The 25,545-nt window shown below is 39.3% G+C and overlaps 1 protein-coding gene across 2 annotated transcripts in view, besides 1 other annotated feature; it reads left to right on the forward strand.

The window, feature by feature from the left end:
- WIPF3 (WAS/WASL interacting protein family member 3) overlaps positions 1–25,545 on the forward strand; it is a 110,554-nt gene that overhangs the window by 6,637 nt on the left and 78,372 nt on the right. For both annotated transcript variants that reach the window (NM_001080529.3, NM_001391973.1), the window contains exon 2: positions 21,524–21,670. In NM_001080529.3, the coding sequence (NP_001073998.2) occupies positions 21,581–21,670 (90 nt within the window). In that variant the 5' untranslated portion in view covers positions 21,524–21,580. The remainder of the gene's footprint in view (positions 1–21,523; positions 21,671–25,545) is intronic.
- Positions 12,719–13,058: an enhancer, noted in NCBI's record as "active region_25802". NCBI's record gives its function as "activates an Ori minimal core promoter by ATAC-STARR-seq in GM12878 lymphoblastoid cells {active_cell/tissue: GM12878}" and the evidence as "EXISTENCE:reporter gene assay evidence [ECO:0000049][PMID:35858748]".

Genomic DNA, 25,545 nt, shown 5'->3' on the forward strand with positions numbered 1-25,545 from the left:
CCAGACATCCAATCTGATTTCCTCCTTGGCTCTATCCCATTGCCGTTACTCTGATTTAAATAAATACCCATCCTTACTCATGTGGGTCCCCAAATTGATATACCTGTTTGCTCCTTCCTCTCCCTACAATTCAGTTTCCACACATAGCCCCACGGTGCTGTTTTTAGAACACAGATGTCTAACAACATCTTTCCTCTCTTTAAAAACCTACAAAATAAGGTCCAAAAGCCCAGCATTTGACAGCCTGGCATTGTGAGCTTCCTGCCACAACCCCCAAGCCACAGCACCCATGCACTCACACAGGGCAGGACTCTGCTCATACCCGCCCCTGCTTCAGTCATGGAAGACCTGGCTCAGACATTTCTTTCTGACACTTTACTTGTCCGTAACTTATGGCACAATTAAGTAAATTTTCATGTATGCTTCCAAACTATTTTATATTTCTATTCATATTTTTTGCCCTGGATTCTTTTTTCCTGATATTAATAATGCTACAGCAGTTTTTTTCTTAAAAATCAGTTTTATTGAGCTATAATTCACATACCATAAGATTCAGCTTTTTAAAATACACAATTTCAGTGGTTTTTAGAATTTTCACAGTTGTGCAACCATCGCCATTATTTAATTCCAGACATTTTCATCACCCCAAGAAGAAACCCGTTAATAGTCGCTTCTCATCTCCCTCCCCTCAATCCTTGACAACCACTAATCTATTTTTTATTTCTATAGATATTTGCTATAAACGGAATCTTACAATATGTGGCCTTTTTGGTAAGAGAATTTTTTTTTTTTTTGAGACAGGGTTTCGCTCTGTCACCCAGACTGGAGTCCAGTGGTGCTATCCCAGCTCACTGCAGCCTCGACCACCCAGGCACAGGTGATCCTCCTGCCTTAGCCTCCCAGGTAGCTGGGACTACAGGCGCGTGCCATGACACCCAGCTAATTTTTGTATTTTTAGTAGAGATGGGGTTTTGCCATGTTGGCCAGGCTGGTCTCGAACTCCTAGGCAAGCGATCTGTCTGCCTCCACCTCCCAAAATAAATGTAATAACCTGCTTACGGTTATTATGATTACTCATATATTGGAACTTATTTTGTGTTTTCTTGTATACCCTGTGCTTTATTATTACTTCTTTTTTTCCCTTCCTTTTCTGCCTTCTACAAAAGTGCCTGGCACATAGTAACCTTCAGTAAGTGTTACAAGCTATCATTTGTGGGCAGGAACCATGTAGCTATGGATTTATTTATCCATCAAACATTTATTGATTACCTGCTACTCGTGTTTATAGTTTTGTTGCATGGCTAGCTTAGTGTCTAACAGATAGAAGAAGCTCAGTACATATTTGCTGCATTGCATGGACTGTGCAGAGACTGATGTGCTTGTCGAAGGCTGGGGGAGTTGTGGAAAGCACACAGGCTTGGGATCAAATTCACTTGGGTTGGATCTGATTTTGTCACATCCTAGCTATTTGATCTTGGGTGATTACCTTATGTCTTTGAGCCTTCATTTCCTCATCTGTGAAATGGGGATGATAACATCTGTTGTGAAGAGTTGTTTTGGGGGATGAGAGATAGTTATGTAAGTGACAATCAGAATTGCTAGTGTAGGGAATATGCTCAGTACATGTGAACTATTGTTTTTCTCAGTGAACTGTTTAACTGAGCACCCTCCCAACCATGTACATCAGTATTGAAACACCAACCATGACTGCCCAGGGAATAAAGGTGTAGTCAAAAATGAAACTGGCCCCTTTCCTATGTGGCTGATGTAAGTTATTACCGCCCTATTAGAGGAGGGGACATTTTCCCCTCACATGGTAGAACCAAGGAAAACAACCAAAAGTGTACTTTCTTCTTCCTTTTAACAATAGGAGTCGATTTTAAGTCTCCGATGTCCCTTAAAGCTTCCGTTTATTCTAACACTCGTTTAAACGTTTCAATGAAACATTTTTGTTTCAGTCATGCTTCTCTCCAGGGATTCAGAGAAAAAATAAAGTAGCGTCAGAAATAGGTAAGACAACTACCTAGAAAAAGAGAAGCTTAGCAAGCTTGAAGACAGGCTATTTGGAAATACACAGTCAGAGGAGACAAAAGGAAAAAAAAACAGTAAGACAAGACAAGCAAGCAACCATTTTTCCTGAGTTTCAAATTCCCTTTCCCCACATTTTAAAAGCTTTTGCTCGACTCTTTGTTGCTGTTGTTCTGGTTTTCACCCAAATGTGTATGTCTTGAGGTTAGAAATTTGCCTGCGGACATAGAAGGAAGGCTAAAGAGTAGCCAGGGTTTATGCCTTTTGTTGTCCTTCCTGGCATGCATGGATGCTCAGTGAGTTTTAAGGGATGGTGTTTGATCTGCACTCATTTTGACAGTATCCGTATGAATTACATGTATCTAAAAAAGACGAGCCAAGATACCTGTCCATAGGATCTAGGGAGGCAGTATTTTGTGGCTAGGGGAACAGAGCCCCCACGTGTTATTTCAGACATGTGCACCTTCTCACCAGCATGCTTGTGTTCTCACAGTTAATAAATGACAGGGTCTGCTACAGCTGGAACCAACTTAAAATTATCCATGCCTAATAGAGCATCATGTCTTAAAACCATTCCTTGTTGTGTGTTAACCGTGTGATAACAGAAGAATTAAACTGTAGGGGTTATGACTGGTTTGGGGAGAATTATTTTATTCTGCTCTTGCCTATTTTCCTAGTGCACCTGGTCAGTCGCCTCTAACTTGTGGATGGCTGTGGTGGTGATTTCAGCTGTCCCAGGAAGTCTGTGTGCAAGGCCAGCACAGCAAATCCCACCCTTAGTGCTGAGTCCTACTCTCGATGGCTCCAGCAGCTGCTCCTTTAGACCAAATCGTCAAGACCATTTTAATCTTTTTCTTTATTTGTATTTGCCTTTGAGGTGTAAAGAGATCTCCTAATTCGGATAGTTCAAAATACTTTTAAAAATACTTCTTCACAGTTGTCCCAAATAAAGTGTTTCTCTGAGGTGGTAATCCTGAACTTTTGCTTATTAATTTTTTGAATAAGGAATAATGCACATGACACTTCAAAAAGTATAAAAAGGATGTTCACTGTAAAATATTTCCTGTACTCTATCCTCAGACCACCTAGTTATGCATTCTTCCAGAGAAAAGGCATACTCGTTCTTTTATTATTATTATTATTATCATCATCATCATCATCATCATTTTTTTAGAGACAGAGTCTCTCTCTGTTGCCCAGCTGGAGTGCAGTGGCCTGCCTGATTATGGCTCACTGCAGACTCCATCTCCTGAGCTCAAGCCTCAGCCTCCTGAGTAGCTGGGACTACAAGTACACCAGCTAATTTTTATTTTTATTTTATTTTATTTTATTTTTTAGTAGAGATAGGGACCTGCTTTGTTGCCCAGGCTGGTCTTGAATGTTAGGCCTCAAGTAATCCTGCCCCTGCTTTCCAAAGTGCTGGGATTACAGGCATGAGCTGCCCTGCCCAGCTGCAAACTCATTCTATATACATTTTCTGCTGCCTGCTTTTTTCACATAACACAATGTGGAGATCATTCCAGGTTCATACATACAGGGCTGCCATATTCTTTGTGACAGCTACCTAGTGTGTCAGTATAATGTATGAACCATAATTTAATAATTAGTTTTCAGTTGACAGGTATATACACTATTTCCAGCCTTTTCCTATTAAAACAAATGCTGCAAGTTTTGTCACTGTACAAATTATTTCTCACACGTGAGAAAGATCAGTAAGATAAATTCCTAGAATTGAAATGTGAATTTTTAAATGTTGCTACATTTTCCCATTACCCTTCACAGAAGTTGTACAAATTTATATTCCTACCAATAATTGTCTGATTCCCTGCACTCTCTCCAACACATACATATCAAACTTTTTATCTTTGCCAATTTGATAGGTGAAAATGGTATCTGATTGTGGTTTTGACTTGCATTTTCTCATTAGGAATAACATTGAGGGTCTTTGAATGTGTTTAATTGCCATATATGTTTCCTTATGTGTGAACTGTTTAGGCCTATTTGTGTATTTTCTATCGGGTTATTGATTTTTATTGTAGGAACACCTTATAGAGAAGATAAAACAGCCATTTTACTATAATTTTTATTTTACTGTAATTTCCCCCAGTTTATAATATGACTTATTTTAATGTAATTTCCCTGCAATTTGTAGTATGACTGGGCTTTATTTAATGTGGTTTTATGTATATAGATATGTATTTATTGCTTTGCAGAAACCTTTTCTTCTATACATTTTAGAAAGGTCTTTCTGACTTGTAGATTTTAAAAATTCTCTCATATTTTTAGTATGATTATAATTTCCTTTTTTAGAAATTAAAAATTTGATTCCTTGCAATTTAATGTAAGGCATGAGATCCTTACATTGTTAGCTAACTTAATTTTTTTCCAGATTACTACCCAATTTACTCAATACTTTTTGTTGAATAACTTATCTTTTCCCCACTGATATCCAATGTCTTTCTTTTTTTAAAATAATAACCAAAATTTCCAAAAATACCTAGGTCAATTTCCAGGCTCTCAGGTCTATTACCATTACTGATTCTCCATATAGCAATATCAAATGGTTTTAATGAATATGGCTTTATTATTTGTTTATTATCCAATGATTTTATTTTTCCATGTAAACTTTGAAATCACCTTGAGTAGTTATAAAAAGCAAACAAGTTAGTATTTTCATTATGATCACCTTAAATTTATACATTAATATAGAGAAAAATCAACTTTTGTATGATATTTAGTCTTCCTACCCAAGACTATAGTGTGTTTTTCCACGTCTTCACTGTTTCTCAGTAATGTTTTGAAGTTTTATTTCATGTCTTTGCATATTTTGTTAAGTTTATGCTTAGGTATACTTTTTTAAAGTTGCTATTGTGAACACAATTATTTCTTCACAGTACTTTCTGGCAGTTATTGTTTATATACAGGGATACTTTTTGGAGTTTATTGGTTTGGAAGAGCTACCTTTTTAAATTATCTTATTAATTAAAATAATTTTCCGGCCAGGCACAGTGGCTCAAGCCTGTAATCCCAGCACTTTGGGAGGCCGAGGTGGGGTGGATCACCTGAGGTCAGGAGTTCAAGACCAGCCTGGTCAACATGGTGAAACCCCCATCTCTACTAAATATACAAAAATTAACTGGGGTGGTGGCACATGCCTGTAGTACCAGCTACTCGGGAGGCTGAAGTAGGCGAATCGCTTGAACCTGGGAGATGGAGGTTGCAATGAGTTGAGATCACACCGCTGCACTCCAACCTGGGAGACAGAGCGAGACTCCATCTCAAAAAAAATAATTAAAATAAAAAATAAAAATAATTAAAATAATTAAATTATTTGATTTAATTCTATAAATTAAAATTATATAATATTATATATAATATGTATACTTATTTAATTTAATTATATAAAATTAAGATAATTTTTCCGTGGAGTCTGTTAGGTTTTCCATATATATTGCCATATTATTTGGGGGGAAAACATGATAATTGAGCCTCCTTCTTTTCAACTATTATACAATTTAGTTCTTTCTTTTATCTAATTGAATTGACTACTAGCTGTAGGATAATGATAACTAGTAGTGACAATAGTGGACATGCTTGTCTTGTTCCTGACTTTAATTGGAATTTGTTTAGTCTTTCTCCATTTGCCATAATGTATTTTGAGTTATGTTATAGATATTTAGAGGCAGCTATGGAGATGATTGTATGATTTTCCTGTTTTATGCCCCTGCTATAGTGAGTCATATCAGTAGGTTTTTTAGCATTAAAACATCTTTGCATTTAAACCCTACTTGGTTGGCGTGTATTATTTTTAGTGTGTTGCTGAATTCTGTTCATTTATGCTTATTATTTTCTTCCTCCATATTCATAAATGAGATTGGTCAGTAGTTTTCTTTTTTTATTTGTTCTATTCTTTCTCAGGTTTGGATCTGACTGCTAAGTGGTAATTAACTGCTTCTTAGAGGTTGGGCAGAATTCAGCCATCTATCTTTCACACTTCTTGGTGGTGGATCTTTGACAACTTTCACTATTTCTTCTCTTTAGATGTTCTCTCTTGTCTTGGTCACTTGATTAACTCATGTTTTCATATTCAACTCTTCATAATGGTTGTCTGTTTCAATTCAAGTTTTCAGATTTCTTTACCTAGATTTCAGCAAAATCTTTTAATGTCTTCTCTATCTATCATTATTTTCCCTGTCTCTTGTTTTATTTTGTGTATCTGTGCTTTCTCTTTCTCCCTCCCCTCATTTGGTTAAGGTAAGATGGTTACTTATTTTATTGTTTTTTGTTTTTCAGAGACTAAGCTTTTAGATATATTCATTTAAACATTTATCTTTTTCCTAATTCCTAAATATCTGGTTTCAAAAATTCACAAATAAATGTTAATTCCTTCCCTTCTGCTTCCTTTAGGTTCATATTATTGTTACTCATGTTTCTTGAGAGTTTTTTATTCCTTGTTTTATAAATATGTTTACTTACAGCTATGATTTTTGCTCTGAATTTTTCATTAGCTGCATTCCATAGGTTCTGATATGCAATGTTTTCATTATCCTTATTTTCTCAGTACACATTAAGTTTGGTTTTCACATCTTTTTGTTCCAAGATCTGTTAAATAAAGTTTAAAAGTTTCTAAGTGATAGAATTTTAAAGTTTTCTTTGTATTTTTGTCATTTGATAGGATTGTGAACAGAAAATATTGTCTGTTCTGTTTCTACATTTTAGAATTTGTTGAGATTTTCTTTGCACTATTTACAGCTAATATATAGTCCCTTCTGTGGCTAGTTTAGGGACACTTTAATATGTGTCTTCTATATTTAGAATGTATAGTCATATATTTCCCCGTACCTTGCAATTATTTTATTTATATATTTTAAAACCTTACTTTTTTGATCCACTAAATATGATAAGGACAGAGAGAGAACCCATAAAAGTCTTGATCTGAATATACATTTGCCTTCCTTTCCTTGAATAATATCCTATAGCTTTGCTTTATTAATTTTGTTACTGCTATTTGGAACATAGATATTCATGGCTGCTAACTCAAACTTTGTATATTATTCCCTTTACCATTATAAAGAATCTTTCTTTGCCTTGTTTAATGGTTTTTATGGTGATTTGACTTTTCTCTGTTTCAAATCAGGTGTGTATCTTTTACACAGTATATAGTTGAATTTGGTCCAGTTTGAGGGCTTTTTCTTTTAATATGTGAGCTCTGCCTATTTATGTGTATTGATATGGCAGATATGTTTGTTATTATTTTTGTTATGTGTTCTGTTTTCTATTTTTTATTGCTTAATTTGCTTTTTTACATGATCTGTTTTTTTCCTTACTTTGTGCCCATGTAATTCATTTGGGAGATGTGTCCTATCTTTAGTTCTTCTAGCAATCCCCTTTATAATGATAATAATTCTCTGTTGTTGTTTCTTTTAATTTAGAGAGTATCCACTGATTCCCCAACAGAAATGATACTGAATATCCACTTCTTCCCACCTCCCATCTATCCCTTTCCAAACCTCCTTTCCACCATTCAATTCTAGTTGGTATAATCACTTTTTCTTAGTTTTTCCAAAACTAAACCTTTTAATATGCTTGACTTATACTCCTGTGAGAAATAGACGTGATTTATTCTCTTTAAAGATATTTTGATTTATTAACTTTAAAGGTATTATGCTTGAGTATAATAGCTAAGGAATCAACATGCATATATCTCCCACTTTATCTTCCTTTTTACCTGATAACTTTTGCAAGTTACATTTTTCCATTTTGCCATGATTAATAGTAGTTCCATTCCTTTCCGATAGCGTATTTCCATAGCTGTTTCAGTCTTGATTCAGCAGTTAATTCAATACTTACTGCCATTTCTTTGTCCCCACTTTCTCTCCTCAACTCTTGATTAGCTGACATTTTTCCTACAGTGGTATCTTCAATACAAATTCAAGAAACACACATTTTGCATGTTTAAAAACATTTGCCACTTGCCTTCTTACTACAATGACAGTTTGGCTGGATATAAACTTTTAGGTCACACATTGTTTCTCTGGGATATGATGGCATGGCTAATATGTCTCCAAAACTATATGATTTTCCTTTGGATATCACAGACCTTTTATTTTATTTATTAATAAATTGATTTATTTATTTTTGAGACAGAATCTCACTCTGTCACCCAGGCTGGAGTGCTATGGTTTGATCACGGCTTACTGCAGCCTCCACCTTCTAGCCTCAAGCAATCCTCCCATCTCAGCCTCCCAAGTAGCTGGGACAAGACACACGCCACCATGCCCAACTAATTTTTTAATTTTTCTCTAGAGACAGGGTCTCCCTATATTTCCAGGCTCATGAACTCCTGGTGCAAGTGATTCTCTCGCCTTGGCCTCCTAAAGTATGGGGATTACAGGCATAAGCCACTGTGACTTGCCTTGTACCTTTAAATGTATAGAATTAAATCTTCCTTTTGAAAAGCTTTCTTAAATTATATGCTTGATATTATGTGTTTGAATATTTGTTCTCTTCCATTTGTTTATGTCTTTTACTCAGGAAAACCAGTTATCTTTTTCATTTGTCTTCCATATCTAGCAGTTTCTCTCTAATCCTTTCAAATTCTTTGTCCATTTACATTTCATTCTGCTCATTTTTCTCAATCCTCCATGGTACTCAGTGTGTTTTCAACAATACCTGTTTTCTTTGGGCTTCTTCTAGTGTGTTCTTCATTTTTCTCTTTTACTTCTGCCATGATATTTTTCATCCTCTATTATTTTGCTAGATATTCTCAGAGTCCTTATCTCTTTTCTTTGATTCCTTGTTTTAAAGGGTTAATTATTTCATTAAATCCTTTAAGTTAATAATTGTATGTCTTGTCACAGTGTTTATCTGCTTTACAGCAGTATTTTTTCTAATAAATGTTCTTTACTTATCATCGTTCTTTTCCTATTCCTTTCCTTACTTTTTTCTTAGTTTTTTTTTTTTTTTTTTTTTGGTATAGATCTTATACTGGTTCTCTTTTTCATTATTCATCTTAAAATGAGGTCAACTCTTCTTGGACCAACTATTTTCAGATTTACTTGAGGAAATGACCATGGCAAGTTCTAGACCAGCAAGAATTCTTTTTGGCTTAGGGAGGAACTCCTTATGACACAGAGAGAGAGAAGTATGTGTGTTATAAGACTCATTGAAATGCACATTTGCATCTGTGCCTGCAAATAATTTTGGACCCTCCTTTCCCCAGCCGGTAGAGGTGGGTAGCTTTGAGGCTGCCCAAGATTCACTGTCTTCTTGGCCTACCTCATTCCTAGAATGTCCCTACAGAAATGCCTTGCCTTTGCCATCTTCTCTGCTCCCTGGTGGGTCTAGGGTCTAAGATCAGTTCTGCTGCCATCCTACACACCCTTTTCCATTATTCTAAACGAGAGTTGATGGGTTTTCTTTGCCAAGGAGCTAGTGTTTCCCACTTTGGAGAGCAGGGCTCTGCAGGCTTTGTCTGAGGCTTACAGCCACAAATGTATCGTCTACAGCATATCCACAACCCGTGTCAGATCATCCTGAGCAATGAACCGTCCTGTCTCATTCATTAAAGTGCAGAGTTACGGAGATATAGTTTTACCAAAGAAAATTTTCTTTTTCTTTGTTATCTTGAGATGATTTCCAAGAAAAGGAAGAAACAGATATTTTTACCGTCTTAAAACCGGAAGACCTTCTTGAACTTTATTTTGAAAAGTGAGTTTTTTAATCTAAAAATCTAAAAGCAAGCTGCCTCCTCTCTGCTGCAGTTTAGTGAGACCACTTCCATTTCCAAGAAGCCACCATATCCTTACTTTAAAAAATTACATTTGGAAAAACTTTGTTTTTTGGACAGGATCATATGCAATTTTAAATTTCTTTATTATTTATCTCAAAGCAGTACTCCTTTGCTCCTCATATTTATACAACTTAGGAAAGAAGAAACATTCTACCTTTTTCTTGAACAAATAGATGGGAATTACAGCCAGAACTAGAAACCAGTTTTCCCAGCTATTAAATGATTTCTCTTTGATTGCCTTGCTTTTTGTCATGCCAGAGAAGCCTTTTCTAGTGTGCACTGTAAGCTTTGAGAACCCAACATTCATTTTTTTTTTAGATGGAGTGTCACTCTGTCACCCAGGCTGGAGTGCAGTGGCACGATTTCGGCTCACTGCAACCTCCGTCTCCTGGGAGAACCCAACATTCAGAATATATTTTATTCCCACGCCGATAATGAGGTCTACCATTGGACAGAAACTTTGACAGTTCTCTTCCCTTTTCTAGTTTGCAATATTTTTCTTTAATAATCATTAAGATGATATCTCATTTCTAGATTCACATATAACTTTCCCAGTGTTCTGCTAACAAGGTTTGTCTCCATCTTTTGCGGGAGCCTGATTCCTTGTTTATATGCCATTGCCTTGATACAAAAATATCTTGATACCAACTGATATGGTTTGGATTTGTATCCCTGCCCAAATCTCATGTCGAACTGTAATCCCCAATGTTGGAGGTGGGGCCTGGTGGCAGGTGATTGGATCGTGGGCGGTTTCTCATTATTGGTTTAGTGCCATCCCCTCATCGTTGCTCTTGTGATGTTGAGTGAGTTCTCACGAGATCTGATTGTTTAAAAGTGCGTGGCACCCCCACCCCAGTCCTGCTTCTGCCATTTAAGACACTGTTCCCACTTTGCCTTCTGCCATGAGTAAACGTTCCCTGAGGCCTCCCCAGAAGCAGATGCCGTTATGCTTCCTGTACAGCCTGCAGAACTGTGAGCCAATTAAACCTCTTTTATTTATAAATTTCTCAGTTTCAGGTATTTCTTTATAGCAACGCGAGAACAGACTAATACACCAAGGCAGTGGCATTTGGCATTCGGCATTACTTTTGGCTTTGGCAATACCAGTATCCCAAAGACATAGTCCCTATCTTTGAACCTTTGAGGAGCCCATGGTCCAGTGAAGGGAGACACAGAGACATATAAAAGGAAAATAGGTCCGGGCATGGTGGCCCATCCCTGTGATCCCAGCTATTACGGATGCTGAGGCATGAGAATTGGTTGGCCCTGGTGGGGCAGAGCTTGCAGTGAGCTGAGATCATGCCACTGCACTCTAGCCTGGGTGACAGAGCGAGACTCCATCTCAAACAAAACAAAACGAAAATGAAAAAGAAGAAGAAAATTGCCAGAGTGCTCAGTACCATAGTAGAAGTGTGACCAAAGTGCAAAGTGCTATAGGGGCAGTTAGCCCTCCCAAAGGGAGAAGAAAGCCAATGCAGAGAAGCTGGCACCTGAACACAGTTTTGCAGGTTAACAGGTATTTTCCAGATGGTGAAGGCCCTGACCTGCAGCCTGAATACCATGGGCAGACTTAGAGATGTATTTTTAAAAAAAAAAAAAAGAAAAAAAAGGATATAAGAAAATGTCAACAGTGTGATGTGGGTAAAACGGAGGAGGCCCAGAACACAGTGGAGGATGAGATGTGGAGTCTGACTTCATAGTAAGTAGCCCAGAGAGGAGTACATGTTAAACCTGGGAGTGATGTCATGGACGCTGATAGGTGACACCTGTAGTCGATTTGTGAGACTTGGCTGTCAGTGATGTGCCGGCTGCCTCAGGAAGGAATCTGCCTGGTAGCTGAGATGAGGGAGGCTCCTTGCTGCAGGCTGTTTGAGGTTTTAGCCTAACTTCAAACTGGATGAGGGAGCCAGGGCGTCAGAATCTGCTTATCCTGGAACAGTAGGAATAAGGTTAAAGCACTTAAACTAACCTAAAGTCGCACCCAAAACCTGGAAAGGAAGGATTTGTTTCTTCTTGTACCCAATACTACCTCCCATCTGCACATTATTTCCTCAATGATTTTTGGAATAGTAGCATTTTTGGAGTACGTACAACGTGAAAAGTTACCACCTTAGCCTTAAGAAAGCAAAAAACACCATTCGTATAAAATCTAGCATCATAACATAAATTAAAGAGGTGGTCATTCATTTTGTAAAATGGCTCATTATTTTATGATATTAATTGTAAGTTTCCGTTGAATAATAAACTCCCTTTAGCTAATGCATGCTGGGCTTAATACCTAGATGATGGGTTGATCAGTGCAGCAAACCACCGTGGTATGTGTTTTCCTATGTAACAAACCTGCACACCCTGCACATGTACCCCAGAAATTAAAATAAAAGTTGAAGGAAAAAAAATATTAAGCTCCTTTTTTATGCTTAAGGTTTACCTTGATTTTCCAAAACTTAGAGATACCCTATTTTAGAAGTATAACTGTTATATAAAATGCAGCTTACTCGTGAATGTGTGATTAATATCATGTATTTTTAATAAATCCAGTTCTTAATTAATTCAAGGATGAAAGAGAAGAAAGACAGGAAATCAATATTTTCTCCTTTCACCCTTGGGAACCACACATATAACAATTTTTATGGAACTCAGCCCTCATTTAAATGCCTGAGTCAGTGATAAATATTATTAATATCTTCATTTTTTCCTTTCACCAAATACTGTTCAAAAATTAGAGTGAATTCAATGAATGATCTGGGAACAAATTTGCATTTCAATAAGAGTCCTATAAAAGAAAACCAATGTATGAGCTCATCTTAGTATGTGTACATAGTAGGTTTCATATTAGATGTGGTTAAAGTGTGTTTCCATTTTAGAATTCACATAGATAAACCCACATTAATCCTTTCAGCACTTCAGCAGATAATTAACTTTAATACCCAGTTAGGGCTGAGCCAGTTCAGTTTCTGGAGCCGATGTCTGGGCTGGTGTTTCTCAGGTGTCAGAAATCGTTCATGTCGCCTGTGTGAGAGCAATGGTTTCCCTTTCACTTTGTATGTCATATTCAATTCCAAGTACAGTAGCATTTGCATGGACCCAGCCTGCTGAAATTAAATGAATCTACATGAAAATGAGCCTTTTCAGCAAAGGCCACAACTTCTGACTCTATGGGAGAGAGAATGCTTTCATCATCCTAGATGTTCCAGAGCAGGGTTCTTCAAACTTTAGCGAGCATAAAACTCCCCTGTAGATAAGATGCTCTCAGAGATTGTGCTTCAGTAGGTCTGTGTGGAGATGGTGCCTTTCTTACAGCCTTCCACATTGGAGAGCTGCTCAGTGTGGCCCCAGATCCACAGTGTCGGCCTTACGCAGAAGCTTGTTAGAAATGCAGAATCCCAGGCCCCAACTCCGACCTACTGAATCAGCTGAATCAGAATCTGCATTTTAACAAGATCTCCAGTGACTCACCCTCCACTGGAGTTTGGTAAATACCACCCTAGATCACTGTTCCCCAAAGCCTGGTTTAGGTATTGCTAGGGAAACTGGAGATGAGTTCAGAGAGTGTATAAACATTTTAAAATAATGGCTGTGTTTATTCTTATTATTACTTTCCTTCTTTTTATTACCTTCCAAGTGTTTATTCTTCCTGAGATCCTGTGTTTATTCTTATTATTACCTTCCATTTATTCTTAGTATTACTTTCCATTATTATAAACCAAGTGGTATTGGTTTTCCATTTATGATAATAAAGTTTATTTTCCAAAATAAACTTACTTGACTGAAAGCATGACTTGATTTATAGTAAATGTTAAATAAATGTGAGTTTAGGAGGTATGCGGCTGTCACAAAAACCACGAAAGTCATTTGTATACAAGTGGCCTTACTTAGTATGGTGCTTAAGAGCCTGGCCTCTGGAGCCTGACACTCTGGGTTTGAGTACCAACTCCTCCACTAATGACACTGTGTGACCTTGGGCAAGTTTCTTGACCTCTCCATCCTTCAATTGCCTCATCTGGAGAATGGAGATAATAATGGTATCTATCTCATTGGGGTGTCATGGTGCTTAAAAAAGGGCTAATATATGAAACACTCTAAGAACAGTGTCTGACACATAGTAAGGGCTGTGTCAGGGCTAATTTGCTTCACTGTTATCTAGAGCACAAATACATGCTCAGTGATTTTTTCATCAGATTTCCCCCAATCCTGTTCCTGGCTTCTCTGCTTACTCAGGCCAACATGCCCCACCTCCCCACAAAAGCTAAATATTTACAGATTTTTTATATCATTGAGAAGAGTGAGAGCAGCAACTTCCATTTGGCCAAAAAGAGGACAGTCTCATAGGTTGGAAGTCCAAGGAGAGAGATGTGAACAGAGAATTTGCTCATTAAATGACAAGAAAGTGACAACAGAAAGTGACCATCATAAAACATTCTCATCATCACCTGGAGAGAAGTTTAAAAATAAAATTCTTTTATTATTTTACTTATAGCTTTAGAAACTTTACTACATTTACGTTGAGAACCCTTTATTTGTTCCTTGTTTGCACGTGGGCTTGTGGGCTGCTATCTCCTGGCCGCAAGGTACCTTTAATAGATGAATGATGGACGCTTAGAGGTGGCAGGACCCTACTGAGATCATAATGTGAGATATATATTGCGTCATGGGGTTTATTAGCCTTCATTGGTTCAGAAGTGAGAAATCATTATTCTCCTCCCTCTGCCCCATTTTATAGCCAAAGAAACAAGGGATGTGTTTCTTTGAAAGAGGAACAGTGTCAAAACATACAAAGTTAGGATTGCACAGAGTACCTTATTTGCAGATTCCTAGTCAAGTGTGTTATTTTACTATTATTATTGTTTTGAGGTGGTGTCTCACTCTGTCGCCCAGGCTGGAGTGTAGTGGTACAATCGCAGCTTACTGCAGCCTTGACTTCCCCAGGCTCAGGTGATCTTCCCACCTCAGCCTCCTGAGTAGCCGGAACTACAGGTGTGCACCACCACACTTGGCTAATTTTCTTTGTATTTTTTGTAGAGATGGGATTTTGCCATGTTGCCCAGGCTGATCTTAAACTCCTGGGCTCAAGCTATCTACCCATGTCGGCCTCCCAAAGTGCTGGGATTACAGGTATGAGCCACTGCACCCAGCCCACATGCTTTTGTCAGATGGTGGCAGTAATCTTTCTTGCTTATATTTAAAAACATAAGCACACTTTCTGTGTGTGAACAGCTGTACTCTCACAGACTACTCTTGGAGAAAAAAAAGAGTTTGACGAGAGCAACTAGTGTGTAAAATTACTTACATGAGTTCTTTCTTTCTGAAATAACTCACAAAGTGTGGTTGGAACACAGACATATATAATTTTTTATTAAAAGAGAGGCAAGCCCAGTCCACATCACTTCTGAATGAGTACAGACAGGCTGAACATGTAGGGAAAGAAAGGGATCAAGTAGGGCGCCCGTACCCTCACCCTGGAATAGCTCCCGCTAAAGAGGTTGCAGTGCAGGTCCTGTGCGACCTGCAGACGTGTTCTGTGCTCTGTGGCCCACTGGCTTTTAAAAATGCTTTTTAAATTACATACCCAGATTTCAAAATTGAACTTCGCGCAAAAATCTAGATAGATATGGGGCTTTTGGAAGAGGGAAGTAGGGGGTTCTGGCCAATACTGGGCTCGTATTCCCATGGAATATCACCCAACCCATGCTGAGAGGGGCTCCTACTGCAGACCCAGGTCCATGTCCTGTAGCCATGTCCCGCCTGCGCTCTTTCACCTGTTATTTAGCCCACCTCTGAGTGGGTGGTCACAGCCTGCTCCCTGCTGGCAAGGGATGCTGGGGAAGGAGTTCCTACTTCTGGCTGGAGGAGGTGGGACTCACAATGTGGGAAATTCCTCCAGCATAGGGTAAGTGTTCAAAAGACGGTGGGCAACCACAAGACAGATGAGCACCCCTGCCCAAGGAGGAAGATGCTTGCAGGGTAGCTGAGTGTCATTGAAGAGCCTCCGTCATGGCAGCCTTTTCCTCTTCTCCCCCACACATGCAGAGCCTCCCAGGCTGCTTGTGTTCTCCCACTTCCAAATCTCTGATTATTTGCTGCTCCTGCTTACTAGAACAGACTCCTTTAGTCACCTCTCTGCCTGGTGAAAAATAAGATCACTTCCACCAAGTGTTTCTTTATTGCACCTCCTCCTCAAGTTTGAATGGATGATGCTATCCCTTAGCACTCTCTACCTCTCCTGGGGCATTTATCTGACTCCTGCTTTTTTTTTTTTTTTTTTTTTTGAGACAGAGTCTTGCTCTGTTGCCCAGGCTGGGGTGCAGTGGCGCAATCTAGGCTCACTGCAACCTCCGCCTCCCAGGTTCAAGCCACTCTCCCACCTCAGCCAGCCTCCCAAGTAGCTGGGATTACAGGAGCCTGCCACCACACCTGGCTAATTTTTTTGTATTTTTAGTAGAGACGGGGTTTCACCATGTTGGCCAGGCTGGTTTGGAACTCCTGACCTCAAGTGATCCACCTGCCTCGGCCTCCCAAAGTGCTAGGATTACAGGCGTGAGCCACCGTGCCTGAATTGACTCCTGCTTTTAACATAGTTATTTGTAGTGGTGATGATAAGTGTCACTTCCACGTATGTGTCAGGACGTGTACTGTGTCTTCATATACAGTGTTTGTTTTAATAGTGAAAACAAACAGAATTAAGCATTATCACTCCTAATTTACAAATGAAGAAAAGGAGGCCCAGTAAGGTAAAGTGACCTGACCAAGGCCACACGGCCAGGAAAAGGGAAAGGTGGAAGCGGAACCTGGGGCCGCCTGGTTCTGAGAGCAGGTGCTGTATTCGGGCCTCGCGTGGAAGTGAGTGTTAGTTCTGTTTCCCTCACCACCCTCTAATGGTGCTTGGATGTGTATTTCGATGCTGTTTTGCGATAGTTCATGAATTGGGAGAAAGTATAAAAGCCTTTGAGAATCTGTCCTTTTACATCCTAAACATTTTAAATACACTTCAGAGCAAAACAACATTTTTAAATGGGTTGAGAGAACACAAAGCCTCGAAGAGCTCTTGCGTGCAGCCCCTGACTTCCTGGAGCTCAGCATTCTCAACTGTCAGATTTTAACAAATACTTCTTTAGATAATTGCTTAATTATTGTATCTGGAAAAAAAAAAGCCTTTCACAGCCATCAAACACTACATATAAAACTATCCTCTAATCCTGGATTTTGAAAAATCCTTGCCTGTGACTTCAGCGAGGCAGCATCTCGGTGGCACCTAAGCATTCCCAGGTTCCTAAAGATAAAACTAGACGGAAACCAAGGCCGCTCAGGTGAGGGAGGGGCAAGCAGAAGAATTACAGCCACCTTTATGGGGTTTCTTTCACTTAAGGGTCTCAAAAATATTTTTAAATCTTTGCAAAATGGAAGCAGGGATATAACTTGACCTGAATCATATCAAGCTAATAAAGTAATGTGGTACAGTAGAAATGAGGTTTTAATGGCAAAACTCCATCTATACTAAAAATACAAAAATTAGCCAGGGGTGGCAGTGTGTGCCTGTAGTCCTAGCTACTTGGGAGGCTGAGGTGGGAGGATCGCTTGAACCCAGGAGGTGGAGGTTGCAGTGAGCCGAGATCACGCCGCTGCACTCCAGGCTGGGTGACAGAGCGAGACTCTGTCTCAAAAAAAAAAAAAAAAAGAAAGAAAGAAATGAGGTTTTAGATAAGAAAAACCAGGGCTTTAAACTCAGCTCTGATGATCTTTCTGAAATTTAGTAGAAATTGCATACTTCTCTGAGGCAAAGTTGGGTTATTTGCTACATGGAAATATCAGCGTCTACCACGTGGTTGTTGAGAGGATTACATAAAATGTCTTAGAAGTCCCCAGTGCAGTGCTGAGCACCTACCGGGTGGGAGAGTCAAAAAGGTATAGAGCCAATCCTTATTACTTGCAGATTCTACATTTGCAAATTCACCTACGTGTACTCACGAAAGTGTATTTGTAACTCCAAAATCAGTACTCACGGTGCTTTTGTGGTCATTCCCAGGCATGTGAAAAGTGGTGAAAAACTGTAGACACTGACGAGCATGTTCCCAGCTGAGCTGAAATAACAGGACACTCTGCCTTCTTGTTTCAGCTCTCATCCTATAAACAAGTGCTCCTCTCTCAGTCTGTGTAATGCCACATTTTTTCCAAATTTTGTACTTATTGTTGGTGGTTTTGCAGTTTAAAATGGCCCCAAGCAAAGTGCTGAAGCGCTGCCTAGTATTCTTAAGCCCAAGAAGGCCGTGATGTGCCTTATGGAGAAAATATAAGTGTTTGATAAGATTTGTTCAGACATGACTCCTAGTGCCGTTGGCCATGGGTTGTCTTGTTCTATCTGGGCCCTCAACGGATTAGATGGCGCCCACCCACAATGGTGAGGAAGACCTTTACTCAGTCTGCAGATTCAAATGCTAACCTGTTTTGGAAACACCTTTACAGATACACCCAGAAATGATGTTCTACCAGCCAGATGGGCAACCCTTAGCCCAATTAAGTTGACACATAAAAGTAATCATCACGCTCTGTGTTCATGACAACTTTCTAAACATAACTATAGTGAATAATGAGAATCAACTGTATTTTATTTAGTTCCTATATTGGATAGGTTCAATATTAGTGGATAAAACAAATTAACTCAAAAATCTTCATGGCTTAACACAATGGGAGTTTATTTTTCACATATGTAAAGTCTAATCAGGTGTTTGGCAGGTAGTCTTACAGGTGAGTCAGGGACCCGGACTCCTTTCATCTTGTGGCTCTGCCAACACATAGGACCTTTGCTACAGTCAATGGGCGGGGAAAGAGAAAAGTCGTGGGCAGAAGGTCTTTCTGAACCAGCCCAGAAGTAATAGCACATCACTTCGACCTTCATTGCATTGACCAGAACTCAGTCTCGTGGTCACACCTAGCTGCAAGGGAGGCTGGGAGATGCAGTCTAGCCATGTGCTGAGGGATTACAGGAATAGCTCTGCTGCAGTTCTCCTTAAAGTCTCTTTATACAGTTATTTTTTCTTAGGTAAATGACAAAACCCTTAGGTAAGTGGTATTTCCGTTTGTAAAGGTTATTCTTCCCCACCTTTTCCAGTTTTTCACCAGGGGAAGCATTTCTGTCTCCTGTCATGTGTCTTAGTTAAAAGATGAGATCCTTATATAATGAGACCTCTAGATATTCTCGTTCTGTTAATACTTCAACCAACTCTTTAATCTTTGCTATAAATTTTTGACTAAAAATATTTTTGCCACTGAATAAAAGATCATAAAAAATAGACCCAGTGCCTCCTGTAAAAGAAAGTGTTAAAATACAAATATCTGATAATTTGTGCTTGTTCCAACTAAATTGTGGGCCTGCATCCAAGTTGCCTTAGCACCAGCCTGTAAAATGCTAACTGTGTCTAACCCTATGTCATTGTGTGTATTAGTTTAGTGCACCATTAGTTTAGTTTTGGTAATAAAATAACACTGATGTTACCTGAAAGAAACACGTACTACCCCATGAGATCTCTGCTCAATTTTACTATGGTTTTATGCTGTGGACTCTGATGAGTATTTTCCTTTTCGGTCTTTCTGTTCTTGTTTTAATATCAAGGAATGAGGCAGTAACACAGTGATGATCAGGCTCCTTCTTTCAAGGAGCCTGAAATACTTTGTAAGAAAAGTGTAGTTGTGTACAACAATCAGCTTATGCACCTCCTTGGAACTCTTAGGAAAACTATCATGGACTCTTTCCCCAAAAAAGTTGCACTGACACACATATTTTACGCCATTTTCAATTTTTGTACAAATTTAGATTAATCCTGCTGGGAAAAAAGATGGTACCATATGATCCAGCAATTCCACTCTTGCATATACGCTGAAAAGAATGAAAAGCAAGGTCTTGAAGAGATATTTGTACACCAATGTTCATAGCAGCATTTCTCACAACACCCCAAAGGTGAAAGCAACCCAGGCACTCATCAATAGATGAATGGCTCAACTAAATGTGGTGTATACGTACAATGGAATAATTCAGAATGAATTTCTGATCCATGCTACAACATGAATGAAAGTTGAAAACATTATGCTAAATGAAATAAGCCAGACTCAAACGGACAAATGTTGTATGGTTCCACATATATGAGGTACCTAGACTAGACAAATTCATAGAGACAGAAAGTAGAACAGAGGTTACTGGGGGCTGAGGGGAGGAGACAGTGGGGAGTTATTGTTTAATGGGTACAGAGTTTCTGTTTGGGATGATGAACAAGTTTTGGAAACGGATAGTGATGCTGGTTGCACAGCATTGTGAATGCACTTAACGCCACTGAATTGTATACTTAAAAGGAGTTAAAATGATAAATCTGATATTCTTGGACTTTAGAACCTGTTAAGCCTTGGTTCCAATCCCAGGTCTGCTGGTTATAGTATAGGTGACTTTGAGCAAAAGAGTTAATGTCTCTGAACATCCTTTTCTTTATCTATAAAAATGGGGATGCTAGGGCGTTGAAGCCCTGACCTTAGAAGATTCTTGTAGAAATAAGTGTGATTAGTGTGTCACATAATTGCCATTTATAAAAAGATAAAAAGAACTAACATATTAGGTGAGCAAAATTCAGTGGACTATGCTAACAAGAAAGCATCACATTGCATAAATGCTTTTGGCCTCTGTGGAGACAAGAATATTAACATGAAAAAACATAAATGCCACAGGATTTTAAAGATGAAAAAACATAGGGACAGGCCTTGTTCTGGTCCTCCAGTAACCAAAGGGACAGCAGGAATACAAAATCACCCCTGCCCAAGTGTAAGGTTTATTTCAGTTTCTGCTTTGATTGTTTTTAGGTTCTTATATAGGTTTTTCCAATTCTTATAAACTATGGGGTTTTTCTTTAATACAGATTTTAAGTCCTTGCAGTGTGCCTTGCTATGGGTTCTAAGACACATGCCCACATACACACATATGCATGCACACATACAGGCTCCACACATTTATCCAGAGATCAGACCTCCTATAATATTAACTATTTGAAACAGAATCATATTGGCAGAATCATGCCAAAAAGCCCCCTGCATAGCAAATACCAGATAGAAAGTCTAGGCAGAGGAGAGGAGTGGCCCATCCTCATCCAGATGGCTGGGTAGAAATGATGACACAGGAATAGCAGGGAAAGTAAGAGCTGACAGGAGAGAAAGAGGCAGGAAAATGACTAGCGCCCTAAGCCTTGCTCGAGGCTGGCATCATGAGTTCATGTTGAGCCTGTGACATTCAGAAAAGGTTACATTTCATTCTGTTTGCTCTGCTTAGGAAAATGGGAGTCTATGCAGAATGATTGAAAATGATAAAACTAAAAATTTAATGCTAAAGAGGTAGAAGTCAGTTATCTGGAAAAATTATTATGGAATGAAGGATTGCTATATATATATACATATATATGTATATTCTATTTGTACTGAGACACAAATAGCTAAATTCTATCAGTTTTAACACCTATTATCTCTAGAATCTGGCTGCTTTTGTCAATCTCCAGCACTTAGCACAAAGCTTGCCTCAGAGTGGGCACTCTGTGAATAAATGAATGAACAAATGAGTGAATGAATGAACAGGTGAAAGAATCAAGCTGACTATAATATGCATGTCTGCAAGATACACATTTCCTGCATGTAAGTAAAGAAATCCAAGTTTAAATCCATTCTTTTTCTCTTTTTCAGAGCAGAAGCCACTCTCTTGGGACCATTCATAAGCAGGAGACATCAACACCGTGACACATGCCAGTGCCACCGCCACCCCCACCTCCTCTGCCTCCACCTCCCCCGCCTCTGGGGGCTCCTCCCCCTCCCCCACCATCAGCACCCCCGGTAAGACCTTTTTTTCTGATTGGTTTACTGTGGAGCATAAACTGCTTGAATACACTTGAGCAGAAGGTTTTAAATGTTCAGAAGTAGCACTGCCTAGCTTCCCTGTGGCAGGTGGCATCTTAGGTGGCTGGATCTGGCAGCTTTAGAGTCTGATTCCAAACCAGCCTGGCTCAGCCATTTCTCTCCCCCATTCTTCGGCAGCTTCCACCTCCACCTCATTGGTCTACTGATGTCTACCTCATTTCTCTTCTCATTCCTGCTGCTTGGTACAGGCTCGCGAGTCTGAGTGACTTTCTGTCTCACTGGAAACCTCACGCAATGGGCCATGCCAAAGTGCACGGCCAATGAGGCCTTGTGAAGTCAAGTTCCAGTGTGGAATTTGGATGGTGATAATGAGAGATTGAGCTTCAGTCCCCTAGTGTAATAGGAAATGCCACAACGAGATATAAAATCCTTACATGAAGTTTCCCTATCTACACAAGACTGAATCGAGGCTATTTCAGTTCGTGTTGCTGAATGTTCTCTCTTGGTTTCATAGTTTGGTTTGTGTCTAGAAGTGGGCCACTGAGGGTGGTCATTTTGTTTTGGAACAGGGATTCTCAGCCTTGGCACCACTGACATTTGGGGTGAGATCATTTGTGTTGTTTGGGCTGTCCTATGCATTGTAGGATGTTTAGCAACATCCCTGGCATCTACCCACTAGATGCCAGTAGCACCCCCCAATTGTGGCAGTAAAAAAATGGCCCTATATATTGCCAGATGTCCCCTTGTGGGGCAAAAATCACCACCGCACACACGGTTTCAGAAAAATGCTAGTGCTTACTGCTTATGGCAAACTTTTCCTCTGAAGAAAACCAGGAGCACTTCTCACACTCATTTTCCATTCCTCACACCACTTCAGTGAGGGGCGTCTCGCATCCGCTCCGCAGCTTCTGTTTTCCGTGGAAAATGAACGAGATGACGGTATGGCACACAGAGACAGGGCTGCTTAGAGATGGTGTGAGCCAAGTCAGCAGAAGCCAGGAACAGAACCTCCCTGCCATCCTCCCCACCGGATGCAACCCTCCCTCAGATGTGCAGATGACATGGCCCTGAGGAGTGTTGGCTATGAAGGGAGAGCCTGCGGCCCCTGCTGCATGACCACAGGCCCTGGTGAGGGTGAGAGTATGCCTGAGATGTCACCCCACGTGACATTCGTTTGGACACTGACCCTATCTGAGGTGCCAAGGGCTTAGACCTGCCTGGAACTTGGCTCTTGCCCTGCAAGACAGTAGAAAGAAAGCACATAGTATAAATTACGTTTGAGAGCTTTCTAACCAATATAAACAAAGAATAGGAATAGGTATTGAAGTTTCACTGCTGAATTTGACCCAAAGTCAAATTCAAGGTCATTGCCACAAAGTGATGGTTTGTAAGTAAACACACATGAAACTATCATATGGATCTTGCAAGCACTGAAGAAGTACAACTTAGAATAACTGCAAATACTGACGTACCCATAAATTTAGCCAGAATAAATAAACTGAACAAAATCCATGTTATTGGAGGTTTGAGAAAATAATCCTTTTTAAACATTGCTGGTGACAGACAAATGTCTAGGACTCAGTAAAAGTTGAACAGGTCTTTCTGGAGTGTTCTCTGTAAGAAAACAGTAAATGTGTATGTATCATAGTTTTCCCCTGGTAATCAGGTAGTTTTATTTTTGAGACTGATTTAAGAATTTAACCCTAAAAATACCAAAAAGAATTTATGCAAGGATATGTCCAACAATGCTATTTATTCTAGCGAAAAAATAGATCTTAAATGGCTTACGAGAACTAAATGAAATGTGTTATGTCATACTGTTAATTAAAAATTGCATTATGCAGTGGTGGTAATTAAAACTTACATCTGGCGGGGCACAGTGGCTCACACCTGTTATCCCAGCACTTTGGGAGGCCGAGGTGGGCAGATCACCTGAGGTCAGGAATTCAAGACCAGCCTGGCTAACATGGCTAAACCCCATCTCTACTAAAAAATACAAAAATTAGTCAGGCATGGTGGCAGGTGCCTGTAATCCCAGCTACTCAGGAGGCTGTGGCAGGGAGAATTACTTGAACCCAGGAGGCGGAGGTTGCAGTGAGCCAACATCGCACCACTGCACTCCAGCCTGGGTGACAGAGTGAGACTCTGTCTCAAAACAAAAACAAAAACAACTTACATCTATGCTGATATGGAAAAGTAGATATAAAATGATGGATTGGAAACAACACACATTTTGGCCGGGCATGGTGGCTCACACCTGTAATCCCAGCACTTTGGGAGGCTGAGGCAAGTGGATCACGAGGTCAGGAGATGGAGACCACCCTGGCTAACACGGTGAAACCCCGTCTCTACTAAAAATACAAAAAAATTAGCTGGGCATGGTGGTGGGCGCCTGTAGTCCCAGCTACTCGGGAGGCTGAGGCAGGAGAATGGTGTGAACCCAGGAGGCGGAGCTTGCGGTGAGCCGAGACCACGCCACTGCACTCCAGCCTGGGCAACAGAGTGAGACTCCGTCTCAAAAAAACAAACAAACAAACAAATGAAAAACACATTTTGTGCATAATGAAATCAACTACTTAATATATGTAATAAATAGCAAAAATCAGAAGAGAATTTGATAATGTTGACAATAACATTTAATATTTTATTAGGGAATTTCTTCTTTAAAGATGCTTAAATGCATAATAAAAATAATTGTACATTTGGTTAAATTTTTTGAATTCTCTCCTTCATTTCTCTCTCTCTTTCTCTTTCTGAAGAACAGGTCAATTTAGGAGTAAAATAATCATGTAAATTTTAATATTTTCTTAAAACATATTTTCTACATTTATGTAGAAAAATAATGTGTACACTTACAATACATATTAAAGGCAAATAATTAACGTCTTTAGCATATAAAGAGCTCTTACAGATTACTATGGAAATGATGAATACAAAGATGGGCACAGGATATGATTAGATTGAAGAAATGCAAATATTTTAACCTCACTACAGTTTAATAAGAACAAATTAAAATAATGAGAAACCATTTTTATCTATCAGTTTAGTGAGATATTTTTATTTATTTATTTATTTAGTTAGTTAGTTATTTAGTTATTGAGACGGAGTCTTGCTTTTTCGCCCAGGCTAGAGTGCAGTGGCACTATCTCGGCTCACTGCAAGCTCCTCCTCCCAGGTTCACACCATTCTCCTGCCTCAGCCTCCCGAGTAGCTGGAACTACAGGTGCCCGCCACCACGCCCGGCTAATTTTCTCTATTTTTAGTAGAGACGGGGTTTCACTGTGTTAGCCAGGATGGTCTTGATCTCCTGACTTTGTGATCCACCTGCCTCAGCCTCCCAAAGTGCTGGGATTACAGGCGTGAGCCACTGCGCCCAGCCTAGTGAGATACTTTTTAAATGTTGGCTGGAGTATTAGGAACTAGGCACTTATAACTCTTGGTGGGAGCAAAACTTAGTGAAATGCCCTAAGATACAATTTGTCAGTAAAAAATGGACCTAGTTTCACTTCAAGTAATTTTCTTGACATGGCTTCACTTCAAGTAATTTTTATTTAAGTAACTAATCATAGATATACAGAAATATATAGCTATAGGAGATTAATGAAAGTATTACTTGTAATAATAACCAAAAAGAAAGAAACAAAAAACAACCCACATTTTTTATGACAGCAGATTCAATAATTTATTATATATCCTCTAAATGGTATATGAAGCAGCCATTAAAATCATATCAGAATTAAAAAGAAGAAAATGACAAATGTTGGCAAGGATGTGGAGTGATGGAAACTCTCATACACTGCTGGTGGGAGTGTAAATTGATATAAACCCTTTGGAAAACCGTTTGACAGCAC

Source organism: Homo sapiens, chromosome 7 (genome assembly GCF_000001405.40).
Source record: "Homo sapiens chromosome 7, GRCh38.p14 Primary Assembly".
NCBI classification, from domain to species: Eukaryota; Metazoa; Chordata; class Mammalia; order Primates; family Hominidae; genus Homo; species Homo sapiens.